At 39.2% G+C, this 24728-nt stretch overlaps 1 protein-coding gene across 6 annotated transcripts in view; it reads right to left on the bottom strand.

Moving 5' to 3' along the window:
- LGR5 (leucine rich repeat containing G protein-coupled receptor 5) overlaps window positions 1-24728 on the bottom strand; it is a 147182-nt gene that overhangs the window by 71527 nt on the left and 50927 nt on the right. For all 6 annotated transcript variants that reach the window (NR_110596.2, XM_047429800.1, NM_003667.4 and 3 more), the window contains exon 2: window positions 10099-10170. Coding sequence is in view for 5 of the 6 variants with exons in the window: in NM_003667.4 (NP_003658.1) it covers window positions 10099-10170 (72 nt within the window). In the remaining variant the exon portion in view is untranslated. The remainder of the gene's footprint in view (window positions 1-10098; window positions 10171-24728) is intronic.

Here is a 24728-nt window from a genome sequence, read left to right as displayed (position 1 = left end):
AAAGCTTTCTTTCTTAAACTGTGTATTCATGAGCTGTGCATTTTGCTTTCATTATTTGATATAATAAAAACATTCAGATTTCAAGGTTCATGGGCTAAGAATTGTTAAGGACTAAGACCACTGGACTGAGTAAATGAACTCTTTCAAGTCAATAAGGAGATACTTTAATGTGCATAGGGCCCTGTGGTTTCTTTTTTTCTTTCTTTTTTTTTTTTTGAGAGGGAGTCTTGCTCTTTCGCCCAGGCTGGAGTGCAGTGGCGCGATCTGGGCTCACTGCAAGCTCCGCCTTCCGGGTTCAAGCCATTCTCCTGCCTCAGCCTCCTGAGTAGCTGGGACTACAGGCGCCCGCCACCACGCCCGGCTAATTTTTTATGTTTTTAGTAGATACGGGGTTTCACTGTGTTAGCCAGGATGGTCTCGATCTCCTGACCTCGTGATCCACCTGCCTCGGCCTCCCAAAGTGCTGGGATTACAGGCGTGAGCCACCGTGCCCTGCCCCTGTGGTTTCTTTAACCAGACTAAGGAAGTTCAATTTTAATTCCTTTATGGAATCTTCCTTAACCATCTCGGTTAACAGCTCTCCTATAAGATACATTCTATACAATGTAGCCTATAATGGTTGATTTTCTACCCTCTACCCTTTCTTTTAAAGGTGTTATTTTTGTTTGTTTGTTTGTTTTTGTTGTTGTTGTTGTTTTTTAAGATCCTGGGCTTAAGTGATCCATCCTCCCAACTCAGCCTCTCTGGTAGCTGGGACTACAGGTACGCACCACTCTGCCTAGCTCATTTGGTACCCTTTTATAAGTAGTCTGATTATAGACTCCTAAGCTCAAGAGTCTTATTGCATGCACAGAGTATGGAGCTCAACTGATATTTATTGATCGTTTGATCTTGTTTCCAAAGGCAGCTGGCCATACTGCCTCAGTTGCTTCAGATCTGGCATAACTATTCCAAGATAGCTAGTCACAAAACCAGACTAGAAACAGCTGAGGAATATTCCTTCTTTGTTACATATCAAACTTAAATTCAGCAATTTCTTAGAGCACTTTCAATATGCCACATATAGTGCTTTTGGACATATAAATAGTAGCTACCATTTATCAAACAGTCCATAAATGCTAGGGCACAATATTCAGTACTTTATGGGCATGATGCTATTTGTTTATAACAATCACATTAAACAATTGGCATCATCTCCATTTACAGATGGCAGAATGGGCCAAAGGGAGGTTATTTGCTCACACTATGTAGAAAAGTTCACAGAAGAAAGTTTGGTTCAAATATAGCATTTTGACCCCAAATTGGGGGTTTTTAATTATTACTCTGGTTAAAGGAAGGCTGGTCTTAAGCTTAGGTTGGTCAGGAGCAACCCTGACCTAAAACAGGAAAATGCAGGGACACAATGGCTGTATCACTTGAGGCATTGGCTATCAGAAAACCATTGCCCATTGCTTTTTATTTAAACTCCTCTCACTGCCTTTCAGATTCAGCACAATCTTACTACTCTTACCACTATGACTGGTCATCTCTTCTTCCTTTTGCTAGGCTCTCTTTTAGTCTTCATTGCTCAACCATAGATGTTCCTCAAGTTTCTGTCCTCACACCTTTTCTTTTTTTCTGCTCTGCTTAGTGGTACTCAAATTTTAGTGTGCATTGCCATCACTTTAGAAGCCATAAAAATTCAGATCCCCAAGGCCCCAATCCTGACCCAGGGAACCAGACATTCTGGGAGAAGGACTTGGAAATCTGCATTTTTAATAAGCAGCTCCAGTGATTTTATTGTAGATTGAAAAACTACACTGGGAAACACAGAGCCTCTCTCAAGTTTCTCTCTCAGGGTTCTCATCCACCCAGCACCTTCAACCATCACCTCTTTGTAAACCACTCTCCAATCATTATCTCTAGAACAGACCCATCATGCTTCACACTTACATTCCAACAACGTTACTGACATTCCCATTTAGATGTCCTGCTGCCTCCTTGCACTTAGTATATCCAGAACTGGGCATCCTCTTGCCTCCAAAATCAGTTCTTCCCTTGAATTCCCTGTTTTTGTCCTTCACCAGCTCCTGACACCCGATTTCATAACCCTATTCAGAGTCATCTCTCATCTTTAGACCTCCCCTTTAGTCCCTATGTTCAACCAACTGATGAGTCCCTGACTGCCTTTGTCTGTTGGGGTGCTTTCATATATTCCAGTGGTTCTCAGCCCACCTGTACAGCTTTGAAATAAAAGATGTCTGGGTTCCCAGTGAGACCCATTAAATCGGAATCTCTGGGGACAACCGCTGGTCATTAGTAGCTTTAAAAAGTGTGCTAGGCGATTCTAATGCATATTCAAGGATGGGATACTTTGAAGTAGTTCTCTCTGTTTAATATTTATAAGATCACCTGAAGACCTTCATGGTCTCCATCCCCAGAAACAATGATTAATTCATTAATTGTTGACAGAATTAGGACAGGTGATTTGTTAATGGATTTTAACAGGTACCCAGGCTAGGCGCGGTGGCTCACTCACGTAATCCCAGCGGTTTGGGAGGTCAAGGCAGGTGGATCCTTGAGATCAGGAGTTCGAGACCAGCCTGGCCAACATGGTGAAACCCCATCTCTACTAAAATGCAAAAATTAGCTGGGCATGATGGCGGGTGCCTGTAATCCCAGCTACCTGGGAGGCTGAGGCAAGAGAATTGCTTGAATCCAGGGGGTGGAAGTAGCAATGAGCTGACATCGTGCCACTGCACTGCAGCCTGGGCGACAGAGTGAGACTTTGTCTAAAAAACAAACAAACAAACAAAACAAACAAACCAAAAACGAGTTACCCAAATGAGACAATGAGAACCTGAACTAGGTGGTGACAAAATAGAGTGAACAAACAGGAAAGACAAGGTGGAATTATGAGCTTTAAGACTTGAAAACTGGCTGAATATAGGAGGTAAGAGAAGAAAATGACAGGGCAGGCACAAGTCTGGATAATAAGAATGCTGGTGGCAAGCAGGCAAGGTAGGAGAAAATGCTTGTGGGCGGCTGGGCAGGTGACACATGAATGAATCTGGTTCTGCACATGTTGAGTTTTGAAGTATTGATGGATAGTTGGTGGAGGTGTCACTTAAGTAGTTGGGGATTTTCAAAATGTGGTAGCTAAACGAGCAGTATTGACATCACCTGGAAGTGGTTTATAAAGCCACTTGACTTTCTCCTCCCAATCCCTGGCCTGCTGAAATTCTGTGATGGGGCCCAGAGATGCGTGGTTTTACAAGCACTACAGGTGATCCTGATGTCACTAGATTTCGAGAACCACTAGCCTAGAGTAGTGGTCCTCAAGCTTTACCATGCATCAGAATCACCTGGAGAGCTTGTTAAAGGCAGTTTTCTGAGTTTAACCCCCAGAGTTCCTGATTTACCAGGTTGGGGTGGGGGCACATGAATTGTATTTCTCAAAAGCCAACTCATAAAGAACAAGTTTAGATAAAGAATAAATAACAAGGTGGTGCCAGTGCACCACTGTCCAGGGACAATATATTGAGAACCATTGGTCTAGCAATCAAAGGCAAAAGAGATCTGGTCTGGAAACATAGATTTGGGGGTCATCTATATGAGTTTCTCGCCCAGACACCTATCGTAGCCTCCTACCAGGTCCTTCGGCTTCCATAATTCCCCAATCTATTTTGCATGCAGAAATCAGAGAAATCTTTTAGGTTTATAAATCCTGTTGGTTCACTAGCTGCACACAATCCTCCAATGGCTTCCCATTGCTCTTATTTGAATTCCATACATGGCTTAACTGGCCCTGCACGATCTGGTCTTTTCCTTCCTCTCCAGCTGCATCCACCTCACTTCCCTCTCTCTTACTCTGCTCCAGCCATACTGATTTTTTTTGCAGCTCCACAAACACATCACGTTCTTCCCACCTAAGGCCTCTGCTCACACTGTTCTCCTGCTTGAAATACTGTATCTCAGCTCCAGGCTCCCAGTCCCTCCTCCACCTTCTCATCAGTTTAGACATCACCTTCTTAGGCCTTCCCTCCTTCTCACTCCTTGTTATTTGTTCCTTATCTATACCATGTTTGTGTTATTCACTGCTCTTGTCACAATTAGCAAATATCATATGCAGTTGTGTCCTTGCTTATTATCTGTCTCCTCCACTCAATTGACAACTTCCTGAGGGCAGGGGCTTGCTGAATGAATGAATGGAACAAACACAGCAAGTCGTATTTGCTCTTATGTTCTTAGTGGCTTCATAAATATGTGAATGGAGGAAGTATAGAGAAAGGAGACAATAAAGTTAAGTGGAAATATATGAGGGATGTCTACATTTTATAGGTGGTGGGGGAGAATGGAATGCTAAGGAGAAAAAGGAGGCAGAGAGGTAGGGCACTTTCAAAACAGTGGCTTCATTGTCATAACAAAAGATATACACCACAAACATATATATATACACAATGACCGATATCTAAATGTCTATATCTAGCTGGATGGATAGTCATTTGGAAGACTACCCATACAAAATAACTGCCGTGAAATAACACTTGAGTTTCAAGGAGGCAGTGTTTATAATCAATGGGCAGATCTATGAAGACAGGAGACGATCACTGTGAGAAGGCCAAGGGGCCTGAAGATTATTCATGGGCATGAAGATGTTTTCATTTTATGAACACAACTCAATATGTGGATTATAGTTTACCAAAGTTCTTTGATCATTGTTTCATTTGATCCTCAGGAAGAAAAAAATCTCAAAAGACAGGCAGGACAGCTATACAGATGCTATTTTCAGTAACATGCTGGGGAAGTAGAAGTAACAAGCCTAGATTATGCTTTCAGGAAGTTTAGTGATCTCTCATTACAAATTTCATCTGTAATAATAGATATCTACTATTTATATAGAGATTCGTCATGTCCAACCATAATATGAGCAAACGGTTCCAGGGAACAATAGTAACTTAAAAACAGACCCCCCTAGAGCTTCTCATGTTTCTTTTCTAAATCGAGTATTTGATTCCAATAGCACTAGAATCTGGGAAGATTTTAAAATACTACTTGGAAATAAAGGCCTTTAACTTGGACAATTTTAAATGGTAACAATTCATTCCCCCCTCCTTATTTAGTCAGACTACCAAGCTAAGTTTAATGTAACTTGTAGACGCCAGTAATAGTCACCATCTGCCATTAGCTCCCAACATCTCTACTACACTCTGATGGCCCAAATGTAGGATCTTTTATTTGTCTACATAGCAAGCGTTAACGGAAGTTCCTAGAACTGAGTAAATAGAAGGAGGAGAGATACTGCTGGAGGGAAATGCAATGATTTCTCGGGTTATTAAAATAGTAAAGAACTATCTGCAATCGTTGCCTATATCCATTAAAGCTCAGAATTGGAAACAGTTTTTCAAGTCCAGGATCCCTGAGATTCCTGCAAAATCAGGCTCATGAAAAAAGAAAAGAGGGGGTTAAAATCTTTTTGAAGGTGTTTTCATTTTACTAATACAACTGTATATACAGAATATAGTTTACCAACGTTCTTTCATCATCCTTTCATTTGATTCTTGGAAACACCTTAAAAGGCAGACAGCACCATTCTCCTCTGAGGCCTAGTGAGCATTAAGTGGATTATCAGCTAGTAAGTGGCAGAGCCAGGATGGGAATCCTGGGCTTCTGAATCTAGATTCTGAGCTTTTCTTTCTATACAGCACAGCTTCCCTAATTTCGACCTGCTTTTCTTTCTTTTTGCAAAAGAAAAAGACTCCCCTTCTCTATGCACGGGCACATTGCCACCAGAAGGACAATTGGCCTCTGCATATCTGGTCACCTTGTAGAGTCACAAAAACAAAACAAAACAAAGCAAAACTAAACTAAACAAATAAAAAACAAGACTGAAATGTGTCAAAAACTTGCGGCATAGGTAGTAAGTGTTCTAGAATGTCAGGAAGGAGAGAGGAAGACAATTTTCTGTAATAGCTGTTCTTCTGAAATACTTTCTGTAACTCATCATTCAATCAAGAGTTACAATGCTTTTTTTTTTTTTTTTTTTTTTTTTGAGACTGAGTCTCACTCTATCACCAGGCTGGACTGCAGTGGCACCATCTTGGCTCGCTGCAATCTCTGTCTCCCAGGTTCAAGCGATTCTACTGCCTCAGCCTCCTGAGTAGCTGGAACTACAGGCGCGCGCCACAACACCCAGCTAATTTTTGTATTTTTAGTAGAGACGGGGTTTCACCATATTGGCCAGGATGGTCTCGATCTCTTGACCTCATGATCCACCCACCTTGGCCTCCCAAAGTGCTGGGATTACAGGTGTGAGCCCCTGTGCCCGGCTGAGTTACTTGCTTTTTTAAACATTAAGTCAGTGTATATCTCTAGCGCTTTATTGATTCTTACAGGATTTTGAACTTTGACACCTTTGTTAAGGCTTAGCCATGGATGAGAGATGAACCATGGCTATCTACACAGTTTATAACATAGTTAAAGGAATTAAATGAGAGAAATGATATATCCGGTAATTAGAGCTAAGGGGAAGAGTGATAATGTGGCTTTATTAATAGTGATTTTTTTTGTTTGTTTTTGAGACGGAGTCTCGCACTGTCACCAGACTGGAGTGCAATGGCCCAATCTCGACTCACTGCAACCTCTGCCTCCTGGGTTCAAGCGATTCCCTTGCCTCAGCCTCCCGAGTAGCTGGGACTACAGGTGCCCACCACTACTCCCAACAATTTTTTTTTTTTTTTTTGTATTTTAGTAGAGACAGGTTTCACCATGTTGGCCAGGATGGTCTCGATCTCCTGAACTCGTGATCTGCCCGCCTTGGCCTCCGAAAGTGCTGGGATTACAGGTGTGAACCATTTCACCCAGCTGATAGTGATTTTTAAAGACTGAGTTTTATGATGGGAGGTTTCTTAATATTATTGATAGTGTCAGTGGCAGTTTCCTATTTAACGTATAAAGAGATAAAGCACAAAAATGAGCTGAATAAGCTGAATGAAAGACTTAACACTTTCATAGTGTCCTAATTGTCATAACACACACACAAACACACACACCCAGAGAGAGAGAGAGAGAAAGAGAGAGTTAACATTTCTAGCTGTATGGGTGGTCGTTTATTAGTTCAAGTAAAATATATACTGCATAAACATGGTGCTTAAGTATATGTACTTACATGTAAAAAATATTATCGAAGACTATTTTGGACCTATTGAACAATGCTAGATTGGTGAAATTCTACACCTGAAAGTTCTGATGATACTTTTCTCATAGATAGTATATCATAGTCGTAGATTAATAACCTGAATATCCAATCTCTTCCTCCTGGGAAGACAGCTCTTCATTGCTTTCTTTCACATTCCCAGACACATGCACAGACACAGACACATATATACACACTGATCATTACACAACTCAGTTTATAGAGCATTTAAAAGTGTTCAACTATGCAAACTACTGTGAAATCACAGTGCTAGGTGCTATTGGAGAAAAAAAAAGCGCAAATAAACCATGCACAATTCCAACCGTCCCTCCACTTTCCAAGCATGGCTTTGAAAGTCATTTTGAATCTTAGCTTTGACCTAGGTTTGAATCTTGGCTCTGATACATACCAACTCCATTATGTTGGGTAAGTTCCTTATTTTCTCTGTATTTAAGTTTTCTTATCTGTTAACTGGGAATAATAATATCTATCTTTTTGGGGTTGTTATAATTCACTGAAATGATGTGTGTAAAGCACTTTCAACAGTGATTGGCACACAGTAACCTATTATTGTTGTTACTGCACTTATATTATTATTTTTGAAGATTGTATAGCCTAAAAGAGAATATAGACTTAAGCATATGTCTAACAGAAACAATCAACAGCATAAAAAAAATGTTCTGTTAAAGGGATATTTTTTAAACAAAAAAAATAGAACCTCCCCAAACCCCTAAATTTAGCTTTGGGAACAAAGGAATAAACCAAGAAGAGCTGATCATTTTTCCAGGTTTTATAAATACTAACTTCTTTTGCCGCTAAATGAATAATGATGTCTTTAAGACATCAGTTAGGTGCAGCACAGAATTATATATGGAAAAGCAGTCTTGATTTTAAATTCAGCAAGTCAGCCAGCTTAGCAGAAAGAATTCCAGAACAGAATGAGGCAATGGAATGAATAGTCTTTAAAGGGTCTCCTCTATTTCTGAAATTTTGTGATTCTATGGTCAAGATATTTGATGAAGTTTCCAGAGAGATAAAAATAAGACAAGGCAGAAAAGTATTAATAGTAGCATTTTCAAATGGTAGTTCTCTCCGCAAACACCATTGCTTTTTTTGTGATTTTTTTTCAACTATCTTTTTAAAAACTGGCCTTAGAACAGAATTAATATTCACCTCATGAAGAAAGAGGAGTTATTTTGAATGAGTTGGGTCACTGAGGGAGGAAATCTATTAAACAAAGTCCTTGGGGAAGTGAATTATTTATTGATTCAGCTTGTGGTCTAAAGTTGAGGTGTGTGTTGAGGGAGAAGGGAAGCATTTTGCCATGAGATATTATATGGGAATTAAAGGGAAAAGGATAGGAAGGGCATACCTTAGAAATATGGGGGTAAACAGGGCTGTCTATTCTATATTAATTGTGGAAGTATAGGGAGAACAAGATGGATGTAATTTTTTAAAATTCTGATGTTTGAAAATTATTTAAAATAACCTTTAAAAATGTTGACTAATGTCAATGAAAATCTGTTACTTTTTCTTAGGGAGTTGACATGTGTAAGAAACTCCTTTTACATATTTTGCTTTCTCATTAGTTTATTCATTAAAAATTTACAGATTATTTATTATGTACCAGCCATGACTAAGACAGACATTGTTCCAGCTCCTATGAAGGTTAAATCTTAGCAATGGAAATGTCCTGAGACAAAAGAGAAGATGGAAAAAAAAGGCCTGGGACCTAGAGTGAAAATCTATTCCATGAATGACAAAACCTTCTATACAATCTAGAAATCTAAGATTCCCTACCATAACCCTTGATACCAATTTTATCACATGCAACTGATTTTGGTAGTAAAACAATAGCATTTCATAAAATATAATGCCATCAAAAATAAATATAGATAAAACTCCAGAGGGGAGAAATTTCAAAATGTTATCCTCTTATTCTCTTGAGAAAATGGTCAACGTAGTGTAATTTGGTTATGATGAAACATTCTTTCCACCTCCCATGGTGGATTCTGTGGTGCATTAACAATTTAAATTACTCCCCAAATTGGACTCTGACTTCAGGATTTATAAAGAAAATATTTTCAAAAGAGGTCATTACCTAAACAATTCCTTTAATCAACAGTCAGAGGATTGACTCAACTGATGGTGCCAAACGTTCTACACTAGGGCTGTGATGGGGTATCACCTCCTTATCCCCATCATTCAAAAGCGTAAGAGGATCAAATGAATTTTTAAATGCAGATTTTTGATTTATACAGTTCTTTTTCATCTTCTGAAAAGTGGTTACTAGACTTAATCAAAATTCCTCTGTGTATCATTAACTAATTTTAGCTTCCTCCTTTTTTAGTTTTTATTTTTAGTGTTTGGAAGAGCCCAGTTTTAAATCTTCTGTGGATTTCACATTTTTCTACTGAAGCCTTGAGGGAAGCTAAATTTAAAAGTAGGGAAATAGTAATTAAAAGTGATTAGGACAAGAAGTTTTGGTGCTATGCAATGTGGACTCAATTCTCCCTGTCATAAGCCGAACCAAGCAGCAGTTTTTGGTTTTGATTATAGCTTTACTTGCGATTTTAATAAACATGAACCAGTATTCAAACTTTTAATATCCTGCTGCTTAACTATTTCCAAAGAGCTATCCAGCTCTTTTAAACAGGCTTTGTTTTAAAATTTTAATTTGTTTGGCTCAGTCTCACCTTAGAAAGTTGTAGCCTTATGGTAAACTCTTTTATAAGTTGATTTCCAGAATCATAAGCAATTCTATTTTTGCCCCCTCCCAACTAAGTGTTTCCTCATGTTCTGAAATTGTTGGTGCTGACAGGTTTTCTGCCTTGTTTTATCTGGTTCCCACAGTAAGTATGAGAGACAAACACAAGAATGTGCCCAGTGTTGACTGGATGCATCAAGACTACAGTGATACTTACAACTCCTCCAGGAAGCGGAGACTGGGCAGGGGATTCGGGAGCAGCTGACTGATGTTGTTCATACTGAGGTCTCTGGGGGGGAAAACAGACAGCGTGTGAGGAGCAGCAAATGCCACCACAAGGAAATCCAGCTGTTCAATTCACACATTTCCAAACAATACAGTAAAATGAACTCATTCCCCTGCTTGACAAATGAATTGCTATTCTACATCTTAAATATTAATTCCTTTTCTCCAACATTCCCCACAACATCATGGGCTCTCTATCAAATTAGAGACCCTAGGAGGAACTTACATGGAATTCAAAATGATTTAGACCATTCATGGGCATGGTTGTAATTCTTTATGCTTAAATTTATGTGAGTAGGACAGCAAAGGAAACAGACATAACTCAACTCTAGACATAACTCAACTTTGTGTCTTGCTTTAAATTGTGTGACAAAGAGAAATGTCTTCACTGTGCAACTCTAGAAGTCCTGTTTCTCTGGGACTTTAAGCACCTTGTAAAAACAAATGTTTTGATTCAAAGAAATTTAAAACAACAACAACAACAAAACAAGACAAAAAGCCTATTCCCTCCTTCTAACATGTTCCTTTTGCAGGTTCTCAGATTGCATTAAATAAGTGAAATGAACCATAAAACGAGGGTGTAAGGTGATCCTGCTCTGTAGCACACTTCCTGCTGGGCCTGCACAGTAGTTCCTGGCACAGGAAACAACAAGCCACTTTAAGCAGAACTCAATCAATTTTTGTTTTAAACGAAACTCTGTGTAATTACATTTTATTCTGTTTTTTTCCCCCCTATTTCTTTACTGTCTCTTACATAACCCCACAGCATCATGGGTATATGCCCTCTGTATCTCAGAGGCCAAAAGACTGACAGCTGGACAGATTCTAATCAAGACCAATTCAGATTTTATGTAGTCAGCTGAAGGTCACTTAAGAAATGACTTGTTGCACGAACCTGAAGATTCAGAACTTATGGCATTGTATTCTCAGACCAGGCCTCCATTAAAATTTATCTTGAGAAAAGATAATGAAGTTCTTTTCAACCTGAATTATTGCTTTTATTAAAGTGGACACATCCATTGCACCTAACCAGCTGATTTCATTCACAATATAACTTGGTTCTTTTATCAAATATTGACTTTACATCAATGACGCTAAGAATTGAGGAATCATTCACTCTTTGCCTTTAAAAAATCACAATAATGTGCAAAGAAGAGAAAATATTTTATTAATTGTTTCAGAGTATGGCACCACCCCCAAATTGCTATTAATTTTATTATCTGTTAGTGAACAGTAAATAATGAAGCCAAGTAAATGCTGTGTTCTTAAGCTAAGACTAGACAATGCCATAAATATAGACTAAAATTTTTTTGCATTGTCCATATTCCAAAAATCTGGATTTTTCTGGCGTTGTCTAGATAAAAAAGTCAAGTAATTGATAAACAATTTCATTTTTTTTGGCAAACATTCCTGTGAAATAGCACAGTCATTAAGTTCACTGAACAGCCATGTTTTAAACTGATCAATGCAGTTTCTGGATTCCTCACAGTGATTATAGAATCTCTGCAAAGACTTGATATTTCTCAGGAATATTCACTTTTTAAAATTTGATATCCTACTTATTTCCTAAAAGGATCAAGGTGGTTTGATTTTGGGGCATGTCTATTGGTAACACAGATCAAACCAGTCTCGACATCAAGACATATGGTGTGGAGAGCATAGATTTTCTCTCATATTTTTCTGTGTGATGTGCAAATCACTTCAGAACAAACATTGATCTTGTTTATCTGCAGAAAGTTCTAAATAGAACATAGTCATTTACATATTAAGGTGATTCATAAGCACTCCACATTATTTTTAATATTTGTTACCCTATTTCAAGCACCTGGAAGTGAGGCTTATGCAAGCATTCACTCTCTGGTTCCCACCTGAACACTTTTTATGGTGGAGGAGACTAGGGCAGCAGAGAAAGCACAGGCAAGCCTGAGAAGAGCATCTTGGGTGGGAACCTAGACTTTCCTATTTATTAGCTGCATAATCGTGGGAAAACTAACCTCATTATGCAGCCTTCCTTATTTTTAAACAAGGGTGTCTCTATGTTAATAGCTTGAGACCCTATGATTAGCCATTTCCAATCAAAAGGGAGTGACTTAATTCTTTTCTTAAAAAGGAAAGTACCTGGCTGGGCATGGTGGCTCACGCCTGTAATCCCAGCACTTTGGGAGGCTGAGGCAGGTGGGTCACCCGAGGTCAGGAGTTTGAGACCAGCCTGGCTAACATGGTGAGACCCCATCTCTACTAAAAATACAAAAATTAGCCGGGCATGGTGGTGGGCACCTGTAATCCTAGCTACTTGGGAGGCTGAGGCAAGAGAATCGTTTGAACCCAGGAGGCAGAGGTTGCAGTGAGCTGAGGTTGTACCATTGCACTCCAGCCTGGGCAGCAAGAGCGAAACTCTGTCTCAAAAAAAAAAAAAAAAAAAAAGGAAAGTACCTATCTTTTCCAACAGGAATTAATAACTTTACTGTGCTACCTGACATATCATATTGTAATTCCTCTTAGATAATGACCTAGTACTAGAAAACCAACCCCTTACCACCTGTTTTCTAATACAGGCTGTTTTCTTTTAAAAAGCCTCTAGCAGTTCATATAAACTTGTAGCAGAAAATAACTTTTAATAGCAATGATCTAAGACCAAATGAAATGGGCCTCTAAAATAAAATTCAAAATGGACAAGGTAAAAATTAATTTGCCTGCATTTGCTTTTTTCCCTTCTGTGTGCACTTTTACATTGATGTTAAAATGTAATTATGGTTCTCCAGCTCAGTGTATTCCAAACTATCCACGGTGAAAGACGAAATTTTTTAAATTTCTAATTTGCTGTGGACTTACACTATTATAAACTATAATAAAAATTGATTACTAAAAAGGTGAAATAAAAATACAAAGATATACAAAATACAAGGCTCAATATTTTATTATGTGATTTAACAGAAATAGTTAAATGACTACAAAAGTTTCCAGACTTTACTCTGAAATTCTTATCCTTTGTGGATCAATAAAAACAGCTGTGGCCTGGGGTGGGTCCTTGACTTCTCTTTGGTGAGCGATGCTCCTCTTGCCTTCATATCAAGAATGGTGAGGCTTAAATTACTTTTAGCCTGCTCATCTTTGACTTACCAATGATAGAATTAGAGAATGTTTGGCTGTTAGAGAGGACTGAAACTCACCAGGGTGAGAATGCTCATTATAGGTGAGGAAAATGAGGCTCAGTGAGGTGAGGTGGCCTCTAAGTTTCAGTGCAATATTTAGGGGGAAAGGCCAGGCCTAGAACCGAGGTCTAGGCCCTAGGGTTTTTTGTTTTGTTTTGCTTTCTTTATTTTTGTGTACCACCTTTCTAATTTATGCAAAATATCTTCATTCTGACCCTTAAATTATTTTTAAACCATTCCTTTTATTTTTCTATAGCATTTGGTCTTTTTGACACCTGGTACACACATAACCTTAGCAGCAAATGAGGGGGTCTTAAAATAATTTCCAAGCCTGTGCATTATTTACTCTTTAAGTAATGATTTTAAAATGCTCTGTTTTTTTAAAACATATCTTGCCCATAATTCAGTTTCCTAAAAATCAATGAAGCCACATAATGAATTTCTTGATGTTTTGTCAAGATGTAGAAATTAATTTTGAAGAACTGGTCACTATGTAAAAGGATTTTGTAAGAAATGGATGATTGATTTCCGTTGTGACAAGATGGTCAAATAAGTTAAACCATTCTGCCCTGTCTCTGATCCACCTCTTATCTATGCTATATTACTGATCACGTCTAGAAATCTAGAATAGAGATTGCAAATTCCATGAGAGCAGTTGTTATATATAGGAACCAACCCAGGAGCTTTAAAAAATGTTGATGTCTGGACTGGCACAGTGGCTCACATCTGTAATCCCAGCACTTTGGGAGGCTGAGGTGGGAGGATTTCTTAAGGCCAAGAGTTTGAGACCAGCCTGGGCAACACAGGGAGACCTCATCTCTACAAAAAAATAAAAAATAAAAATAAATAAATAAATAAAAATTAGCTAGATGTGGTGGTGTGTGCCTGTAGTCCCAGCTACTTAGGAGGCTGAGATGGGAGGATCACCTGAGCCTGGGAGGTTGAGGCTGCAGTGAGCCATGGTCACACCACTGTACTTCAGTCTGGGTGACAGAGTGAGCCTCTGTCTTAAAAAATGTTGATGTCTAAGTTTCATCCCCAGGATTTTGGAGTTAACTGATCCAGTGTGGGCACTGGAGTTTTTAAAAGCTTTTCAGGTGACTCGAATGTTCAGCCAGGGCTGAAAACAACTGTCTGGAGTAACTCTAAATTTCTAGGCCAGTTATCTGACCTCTACAACTCGAAACTGAGGAAGCTTAAGATAATTAAAGGTACTGTTTCTTATGGGTTCCTATGGGTTCCATCCCAGCAGACAGTATCTTTCCCTTAAAAATGTTTTTGTTACTTGAAGCTCTATTTTTTTTTTCATTTTACAGATGTTAACTGAGCATTAATGTGGTCAGGTTTTATTCTAGGAACACAGTGGAGAATATATCTGAGTCATCTTTAACTTTTCCCTTTCCCACCATCCCTATGTCCATAAGCCCCCTGGTGTTAATTGTACTACAGAGTTCGCTTCCGGATCTGGCCCCTTTTCTTTCTTCTTGGCTGCCTTTGGTTAAGCCCTTGTACTGCTGAAAACTGTTCTGCTCTCCATGTTTACTGTGTCTCCTCATTCTGGGTCATCTTCTACACCACGGCCAGAAAAGTCGCCCTGAGAAGTCTGTCTGGTCATCACTCTACACAGAGCCACTGCTACCCAAAAAGGAATGCAGCCCCTCAGGTAGATGAATTAAAAGAGGGCTCCCTCTCTTGAGGGGCTGAAGAATTAAAGAAAATACCCTCTTCCTCCTGGGGTAACAGCTACAGAGCAAGCAGGATGAATGGCTTGGCAAGCAGAGCTCGATCTAGAGTTTAGACCCCATGAAGGAGACTCTGTGCAGGATACAACCTGTCCAACGGTAGCCATACAGGACAGCACTATCTGAGAACTTCCGTTGGCTCCTGCCTCTGGGAGGAAATGATGCCCAAACTCCTTAGGCTCTTCACAATCTGGTTTAATGTGGGTTTCTATCTTGATCTCATGCCACTTTCCTCCATGCAATGTGTGATCTAGTTACATGGAAATTCTTACCGTTTCCCTTTGCATGTGTCTTTACATGTGTGGTTCTCTTCCCTGGAATGCATTATCCTCTCCATTTCCAAATTACCACTCCCCCATATCTCTTCCAAGGCCATTCAAGATCTAGTTCAACAGACCCTTGCCATTATGACACAACCTCTTATCTTTCCATCTTCATTGTTCTCTATTTCAACCTCCAGTCCTTTGATATATCCTGTATCAAAGCTCATCTTAGCCCCAAAACCTAGGCTGTTGCTCTCCTGGATCACCATGTCACCAATACTCTCAACTCCCTAGCCCCTGTCTTTTGTTTTACTTTCCTGGAAAAACCTCAGCTCTGGAAAAACACCATGATTCCTTTATCTTCTCTGTTATTATCCCAGGATACTGAGTGCTACCAGAAAATAAAAAAAACCTCATAAATGTGCAGATCGGTGACTATAAATTCACGGTCTTCGTGTGTTTGTAACACCAGTGCCCAATTCTGTGCTTTGCTGTTGCTCAACTTACTCCCATGGGAACTGCTGCGAGCCTTTACCACTTGCCTTGAACCTCTTCATCAATGACCACTCCCATCATGCCCATGGGGCACCTGTCCTCTTACTGCATGGAAATAACTGGGATTCTTCGGACCACCAAGGATGTTCTCCTTTGTCCCCTGCTTACCATACCCATACCTTCCTCCTTATTAGCCTTCCTTATGGATCCCTTCCCCTTTAGCATAATACAGCACATTACTGTGTGTTATAAACTGAAGGTTTGTGTTCCCCCAAATTCATATGCTAAACCCTGAATCCCTAAAGTGGTGATATTTGGAGATGGTGCCTTTGGGAGGTAATTAGGTCATGAAAGAGGAGCCCCCATGATGAGATTAGTGTCCTTACAAAAAGAGACATGAGAGGGCTCCACTGTCTGCCACTTAAGGATACAATGTGTGTAAAACAAAAATGCTAACCACTACACTATGGAACCATGTTAAGGATACAATGTGAAGTTGGTCAACTGAAAACTGAGGGAGCTGACCCCCAGAGGACACTGGATCTGCTGGTACCTTGATCTTGGACTTCCCAGCCTCTAGAACTGTGAGATATATGTTTTTGTTGTTTAAGACACCCAGTTTATGCTAATTTGTTGTAGCAGCCTGGACAAATGGCTATACTGCCTCTAAGAGCATGAGGTATAGAACTCTTCTGAAATAAAATACTCTTGGGAGCAAACTCTCTTTGTGTTTTGCTCACCTTTCACAGTGATTGTTTTTGCTTGTAATTAAATTTTCCTTTTCAGTCGATCCTATTTGTTTTCTTTCCTAGGGATTCCTCAAAGATTCTCATTCATTGAAAGGTGCCCTTCTACCCCCATGCCTAAGTGCCACTAACTGCTGCTTCTCCTCCTCTTTTTCCTTCTGCTCCCCCCTTCTTTTCTCCTTCTTTTCTCTTTCTTCTTATTCTTCTTCTGAAGTATGTTTCCTATCATTTCTATGGATTTGTTGTGAGGGAGATGACTAAAGTAGGTACTTTGTTCATCATCTTAAAATTCAGCCATAGTTGAGATTTGGTATTTGAATCAGTGAACAAGGAAGTCCTTTTTACAGTGTTACTATTTTAAAAAATTAAGGAAACAAAAAAAATTGATGCTCTTTCTTTAATCTCTGCCACAGTCGAAGACAAATATTTACATCTTTAGCAGCACAGTGCAATTCCTATTTCTTCTAAGTATAATCATTTTAAATTTGTCTTTGGAGATCCAGTAGCATTTAGCTCTCTGCCAGATACCTTTGACAACAATGGATCTTGGCTGGAGCCATTCCAGCACTTTTTAATCGATCACTTTTCACATATACTTCTAGAGATAATATACTTCTTGTGAATCTCAAAAGGCAAGGTGCAGGCTTGAGTAGCATTTTATTATAGTATGAATAGTATTATTTCCAGGTACTTTAAAAATGTTATCATTTTTAACTCCAAAACACTGTATCCTTAAGAATTTTTTTTATTGAAGTATAACATATACAGGAAAATGCATAAATTCTGTGTCCGGCCGGATAAATTTTCCTTCCTCCCTCCCTCCATCCCTCCCTTCCTTCCTTCTTTCCTTCCTTCCTTCCTTTCTTCCTTCCTTCCTCTTTCTCTCTTTCTTTCTTTTCTTCTTTCAACTAAGGTTTCACTCTGTCACCCAGGCTGGAGTGCACTGGCATGATCATGGCTTACTGCAGCCACAACCTCCAAGTCCCAAGTTATCTCCCCACCTCAGCCTGCCGGATAGCTGGAACCACAGGTTTGCACTACCATACTTGGCTAATTAATTTTTTTTTTCGTAGAGATGAGGTCTCACTATGTTGCCCAGGCTGGTCTTGAACTCCTTGGCTCAGTTGATTCTCCCACCTTGGCCTCCCAAAGTGCTGGGATTACAGGCATGCCACTGCGCCTGGCCCCTGATGAATTTTCACAATATGAACACACCTCATTAACTAGCACAAATCAAGAAATAGAATATTGACATCACCTCAGAACCCCCTCATGTTCCCTTCCATTCATTGCTCCCCACCAAAAGTAACCATTCTCCTGACATCTAACGTTTCATATTAGTTTTGCTTCTTTTTAATCTTTCTGTAAATGAAATCATTTATAGACATTTTTGTGTCTAGCTTCTTCACTCATTATATTTGTTAGATTTATCCTTATGTTGTGCATAGCAATAGTTTGTTCCTTCTTAATGCAACATAGTGTTTCATTTTATCATTACACCACAATTTATGTACCCACTCAACTGTTGATGGAGATTTGGATTGTTTTTAGTTTGTGACTATTATGAACAGTACTGCTATAAGTATTCTTAAACACATTTATTGAACATTCATATGTGTACATATTTGTTAGGTACATATCTGGGAGTAGAATTGCTGACTATTGGTGTATGCATATGTCTGCTTTAATAGATACTGCCAAATAGTTTTCTAAAGTGGTTATATCAATTTATACTCCCACAAGTAGCCTATAAGAATACCAATTATTTCATATCCAGTAGTTTCCATTTGTTGTCACCAAAATTGTTATCATTTCTCTCTCTCTCTCTTTTTTTTTTTTTTTTTTTTTTGTTGAGATGGAGTCTTCCTCTGTTGCCCAGACTGGAGTGCAGTGTGATCTCAGCTCACTGCAACCTCCACCTCCTGGGTTCAAGTGATTCTTCTGCCTCAGCCTCCCGAGTATCTGGTACTACAGGCATGTGCCACCACGTCCAGCTAATTTTTTGTATTTTTGGTAGAGACAGAGTTTCACCATGTTAGGCAGGATGGTCTTGATCTCCTGACCTGGTGATCTGCCTGCCTTGGCCTCCCAAAGTGCTGGGATTACAGGCGTGAGCCACCTTGCCTGGCTTTTTTCTCTTTTTTATTTTAGTCATTTTGGCATGTACAGTGATGTCACATCGTGGTTATAATTTGCATTTTCCTCATGTCTCATAGAGCTGAGCATCTTTTCACGTGACTTTGACCATCAGGATACCCTTTTTTTGCAAAGTGCCAGCAGAACATTTTATCTTATTTGATGACCTTTGAATTAGAAGTAAAACATACTTGCTGTAACAAGTGAAACTATACACTGATAAGTAAGGAAAGGGCTAATAATCTTTCTTTTTCTAATATTACTCTCATTTTCTAATATTACTTCTCCTGGGGTTTCAAAGGAATTCTTTTGAAAGAGTTAATAGTCTAATAGTTAAAAGTGTGTATTCTGTAGATATTTTGTCTTAGTTTGAGTCCTGGCCTTGATATTTCAGAGTTGAGTAACCTTGAGGAAGTTATTTAACATCTTTGTACCTCAGTTCCCTCATCTGCATCATCTGTGAAATAGAGATAATAGTAACTACTTCATAAAATTGTTATGAGAAATGTTAAAGTAAAATTAAAATGGAGACCAGGCCTGAAAAATTTCTGAGCAAGCAAAACCAGCTAGGGCTTAAAAGTAGCTTTCATCTAGCTTAAATTGCAAATATAGGTGGAACCTGACTGGGGTCACACTGCAGATATAAGCTAAACTTAACTTGGGACGTTTCTGGTAAATGTTTATGTTGAACAGAAATTAAACTTAACTCTAGTCAATCATAAGCAGCCAACTAAGATATAATTATGTGACTAAGAACTTCCCAAAAAAGTACCCCCAAAAGGATAATTATGTAACTGTAAGTCAATCTGATTTCTTTGTTTTACTTTTGCATCTTCCCATAAATGCTTGCCTCTGATGTTCTGCACTGGAATGCGAAATCTCTGTTGGTCTGGTGTTCCCCAACTCATGAATTACTTCTTACTCAAATAAACTCTAAAATTTTGCTGTGCTTTAGATTTTCTTTAAGTTTGGTGTCAGAAGTGGGATTCAAAGGAGACCCCCCCCGACTACGCCCCAAATCCTTGGGCCATGCCACCGGGTGTATCAAGGAACCAGGCAAAAGGTACCTGCTGAGTCCATGGAGCTCACTGCTTTCTCACTGCATCTGGAGGTCCTGGTTAAGTCCCTCTCAGATTTCAAGCTCCACAATTTGTGTCCTGAGCTCTCCAAGTTTATCTGAATCATTTTATTCCCTGTTGTAACCAGAGATCAAATTTGAGTGCTTGACATAAACTAGACTAGGTCCAGTCTAGTGCACTAGTTTCCAGAATAGATCTGGAATCCAGATTGGGATCTCGAGGTTAAACTGGGTATTCAATAGGAACTAGACTGAGTTTGTAGTTGGAAGCCTCAGGTAGATAGAATTTTAAAAAGACAGGATATTATGGGTTTGTCAATATCTAAGGAGCCTGGGACTCCTCTGCTGGGAACACCAGCAAATTTTTTATTTAGAAATTATAGACCACAAACTTGTGCCATTCTAGAAAAATGGGTGTGCCTACAAGAAATAATTTGAAGTTGCAGTGGCCACAACGGGGAAGTTTTAATCTAGATAAAATTGTTTATTTATGGGGCATAATGGAAAAGAATGGATCTTAAATACCTCAGAAACAATGGCATGCATTTTTTGATTGGCATACAGAGGCTTACAAAGAACTAGCTGATCCAAAATTGCCTCTCTAAAAGACTCTTTACTCAAGCCAGGCGCAGTGGTTCAGTGGTTCATGCTTGTAATCTCAACACTTTGGGAGGTCTCAGTGGGAGGATTGCTTTAGCCTAGGAGTTCAAGACAAGCCTGGGCAACATAGTGAGACCTAGTCTCTACAAAAAAAAATCAAGGCCGGGCGCAGTGGCTCACGCCTGTAATCCCAGCACTTTGGGAGGCCGAGGCGGGCAGATCACGAGGTCAGGAGATCAAGACCATCCTGGCTAACACGGTGAAACCCTGTCTCTACTAAAAAAAGTATAAAAAATTAGCCGGGCATGGTGGCAGGTGCCTGTAGTCCCAGCTACTCAGGAGGCTGAGGCAGGAGAATGGCGTGAACCCGGGAGGCAGAGCTTGCAGTGAGCCGAGATCACGCCACTACACTCCAGCCTGGGGGACAGAGCGAGACTCCATCTCAAAAAAAAAAAAAAAAAATCAAAAAATTAGCTGGGCATGGTGGCCCATGCCTGTGGTCCCAGCCACTTGATAGGCCGAGATGGGAGGATCACCTGAGCCTAGAAGGTCACCGCTTCAGTGAGCTGTGATGGCACCACTGCACTCCAGCTTAGGCGACAGAGCATGACCCTGTCTCGAAAAAAAAAAAAAAAGCTTATTTACTAAAATCAAATAAGACAACTGAAAAGCTTAAGCAATAAATTGAGGGCAACAGTAAGGAAATTATGTGGTAACTGATGTGACTTTGTTTCCTGCCTTTATTCTCCTCTACCTAATTATTCTAAATCCACAAACTCATTTGTGAAACCATCTCTTTCTCCTAAGCCTACTAATCCTTTTGCTCAATTACATTTTTATCTGGAGCATAAAGAGAGGAAGGAAGTTAAGTAAATGCCTCATAAAGTTAGGCCCTCAGAATACCCAGGTTTGGCTCCTATAAATAATTTTATTCCTTGGTCAAAAACTGAACTCAGAGCCATAGCAAAATATTTTCCAAATTGCAAAGAAAATACACAAAAATTTTCTGAGGAATTGAGAATCCTCATAGGAGTCTATGACCCTGTGTTTCCTGATTTATATCAGTTTATACACATAATATTAAGACCCAGAGACGTACACAAATGGATAAAAAGAGCAGGATGGGATAAGCCTGAGGAAAGGACTGCTGACTCTTCAATAGTTACTTCTAGGGATGGTAAAAAAGATGCCAGAAAAATAGCCGAAAAACTGCTGGAAACGATCCCTATTGTCTTCCCACAAAAGATTGGTCCGTTATTCAACTATGTATACAAATAAAAAGAAATAAATTAGTTTCTGATTACAAGGCTAGATTTGTTAAACATTCTGGTCTTAAAATACAGCAGGGAAAATTTTCTGCTGAAACTGAAATAGCTCTTACAGACTTATTCATTCATGGGCTCTGACCAAAGCTTGGTGACCTGATTAAAAAATGAAAGATTGGATGGGAAGTTACTGATACAGCTGAATTAGTCATCATGGTTGAACATTTTTAGAGAACTTTAGAACAAGAAAAAGGTGAAACGCTAAAAGAAAAAATATCAAAGGCTTCTATGTTTACAGCTGCAACAGCTACAGGGACAAAGTCCAAGAGGGCCTCTTCATGCATATCATAACTCAAAATCAAGAGGTCCTGAACAAAGAAACCTGTACCTTAAGATGTCTGCCATCATTAGAAACAGTCAGGCCATTGGAAAAAAGATTGTCCACTCTAGTATCAGTCCCTAACTTCCTCTGTTAGAGAAAATTCCCATCGGTTTGACTCTCAAGACAATAATTAACATGAATGGGGTTCTGAGGGATTCTCTGGTAAGTTACTTCCTATAATACCCTTATGTTTATAAGGAAACTCAGATCAAGATCAATGGGGAGTCATGTATACACAGTGTTGGTGGATACTGGAACCACCTTATCCACTTTAAACCCCACCCTAATAAACCAACACATCTCTTGGAGTGAAAAAATATTTCTGTGGTGGGGGTTTCAAATCAAATTCAGAGAATTCCTATGTCTAAACCAGTTGAAATGCTGAACTAGTTTCAGAGAAGCATGCCTTCTTACTATGTGACACCACTCCAGTAAAGATACTGGAATGAGATTTGCTTTCTAACCTAAGAAGACACATAAAACTCTCTTCAGAAGGAAAAGTAACCCTAGAGGTCTCTGATCCTCCTGAACCTAAACTGCTTTGTTCTTACGAGTGGGAGTTGATAACGTTGAAAGCCAAACTTATACCAACCCCAACCTTTCTGGAGTACCCCAATATCTGTGGGCTTCCTCCTCAACTGACAGAAAAAATGATAAGTCCTGAACCTATAAATATCCAACTAGACCATTCTAAGCCATTGCCTAAATTTCCCCATTTACCCCTAAAGTTAGAGGCAATCCAAGGACTTTCACCAATTGTAGAGGAGTTAATAAAACAAATATTTGTAATTACTTGTACTAGTCACTATAATACTCCAATTCTATTAGCTAAAAGAGCTAATGGATGAGGTTGGAGATTTGTTCAAGACTTATGTGCAACAAATTCAATTATAATTCCAAAATTTCCTGTGGTTCCAAATCCTAACACTTTGTTATCTAGTGTGCCTACAGCTGCCAAATGATTCACAGTGATAGATGTCTGCTCTGTCTTCTTTAGCATTTCACTTGATAAGAAGAGCCAATACTTGTTTGCCTTTATTTGGAAAAAACAGCAATACACCTGGACTGTAATGCCACAGGGGTCCACTGATGCCTCATGTTATTTTTCTCAGGCATTACACCAAGACCTGTCAATCTCACAATTTCCTAGAAATTCTACTACTATTTAATATGTAAATAATTTATAGTTATGTTCTTCTACCAGATAAAACTCTGTCATAGATTCAACTTCTTTCTTATAACCATTACCTTACAAGGGACATAAAGCCTCCATGGAAAAACTTTATTCTCTAAAGAAAAGGTCTATTACTTAAGACATGATTTGACTGGAAAGAGAATTTCCCTCTCACCTGAACAAAAAAAAAGTCAATCTAAGGTTTCCCTAGACTCATGACTAAGAGATAATTAAAAGGATTCCTTGGACTTTGGGGATACTATAAAACTTGGGTCTTCAACATTTTTCTGTTGGCATCCCCCTTATATAAACTTACAAAAAATCTGTCTTAAAGTCTGTATTAGTTCATTTTCACACTGCTATGAAGAAATACCCAAGACTGGGTAATTTATAAAGAAAAAGAGGTTTAATGAGCTCACACAGTTCCATATGGCTGGGGAGGCCTCATAATCATAGCAGAAGGCAAAGGAGGAGCAAAGGCATGTCTTACATGGTGGCAGGCAAGAGAGCATGTGCAGGGGAACTGCCCTTTATAAAACGATCAGATCTCTTATTCGCTATCAGGAGAACAGCATTGGAAAAACCCACCCCCATCATTCAATTACCTCCCACCAGGTCCCTCTCATGACATGTGGGTTTTATGGGAGCTACAATTCAAGATGAGATTTGGGTGGGGACACAGCCAAACCATATCAAAGTCTTTGCTATGGGAAGGTAATCATGAACAAACTTCCCATCAAATAAAACTGGCCTTACAACAGCCTTCAGCTTTAAGCCTTCTGAATTATACAAAATGTTTTACATTGTTTGTTTACAAACATGATGGTTAGGCCTTGGGAGTCCTGGCTCAGGAACACAGGGAAAGAAAGCGACTGATTGCTTATTAGAGTCTCCAGTTAGATCTAGTGGCCAGAGCATATTCAAGTTGTCTGAAAATAGTTGCAGCAGCAGCTAAATTAGAAGAAACCTCATCTGACCTAGTGTTAGGAAATGAAACTTTACCTACGAGTTCAACATACCGTTATACATTTATTAGATTCCAGTCAGACCCAAGCAGACTAACATCTTATGACATCTTTCTCCTGTAAACTCCAAATCTCCATCTCGAATATTGTAATCTCTGATTAGCCCTGTCACTCTGCCTAATGATGGAGAAAACCATAAATGTGTGAGTGTGGTATCACAACTATTGACCCCTCACACTGATTTATGGGAGATTCTATTAGATAGTCCTGAATTAATACTTTTTGTTAATGGGTCTTATGCCAAAAAATATACAAAGGAGATACGAAACAGAATATGCTGTAACCACTCAGTATGAACTAACAGAAAAGGGAACTCTTTCACAGTTTAAGTTAGCACAACCTGCAACATTATATTCTCTTAACTAGGCCTTGTCATATAGCCAAAACCAAATAGTTACTATTTGATTTTTATGGGTTTTTTTTTTTTTTTGAGGCTGGGTCTCAATCTGTTGCCCAGGCTGGAGGATAGTGGTGTGATCATGGCTCACCAAAGCCTCAATATCC

The sequence above is a fragment of the Homo sapiens genome, chromosome 12 (assembly GCF_000001405.40).
Source record: "Homo sapiens chromosome 12, GRCh38.p14 Primary Assembly".
NCBI classification, from domain to species: Eukaryota; Metazoa; Chordata; class Mammalia; order Primates; family Hominidae; genus Homo; species Homo sapiens.
Note: the sequence above shows the minus strand (reverse complement) of the source record. Positions and strands in the feature narration are given on the sequence as shown.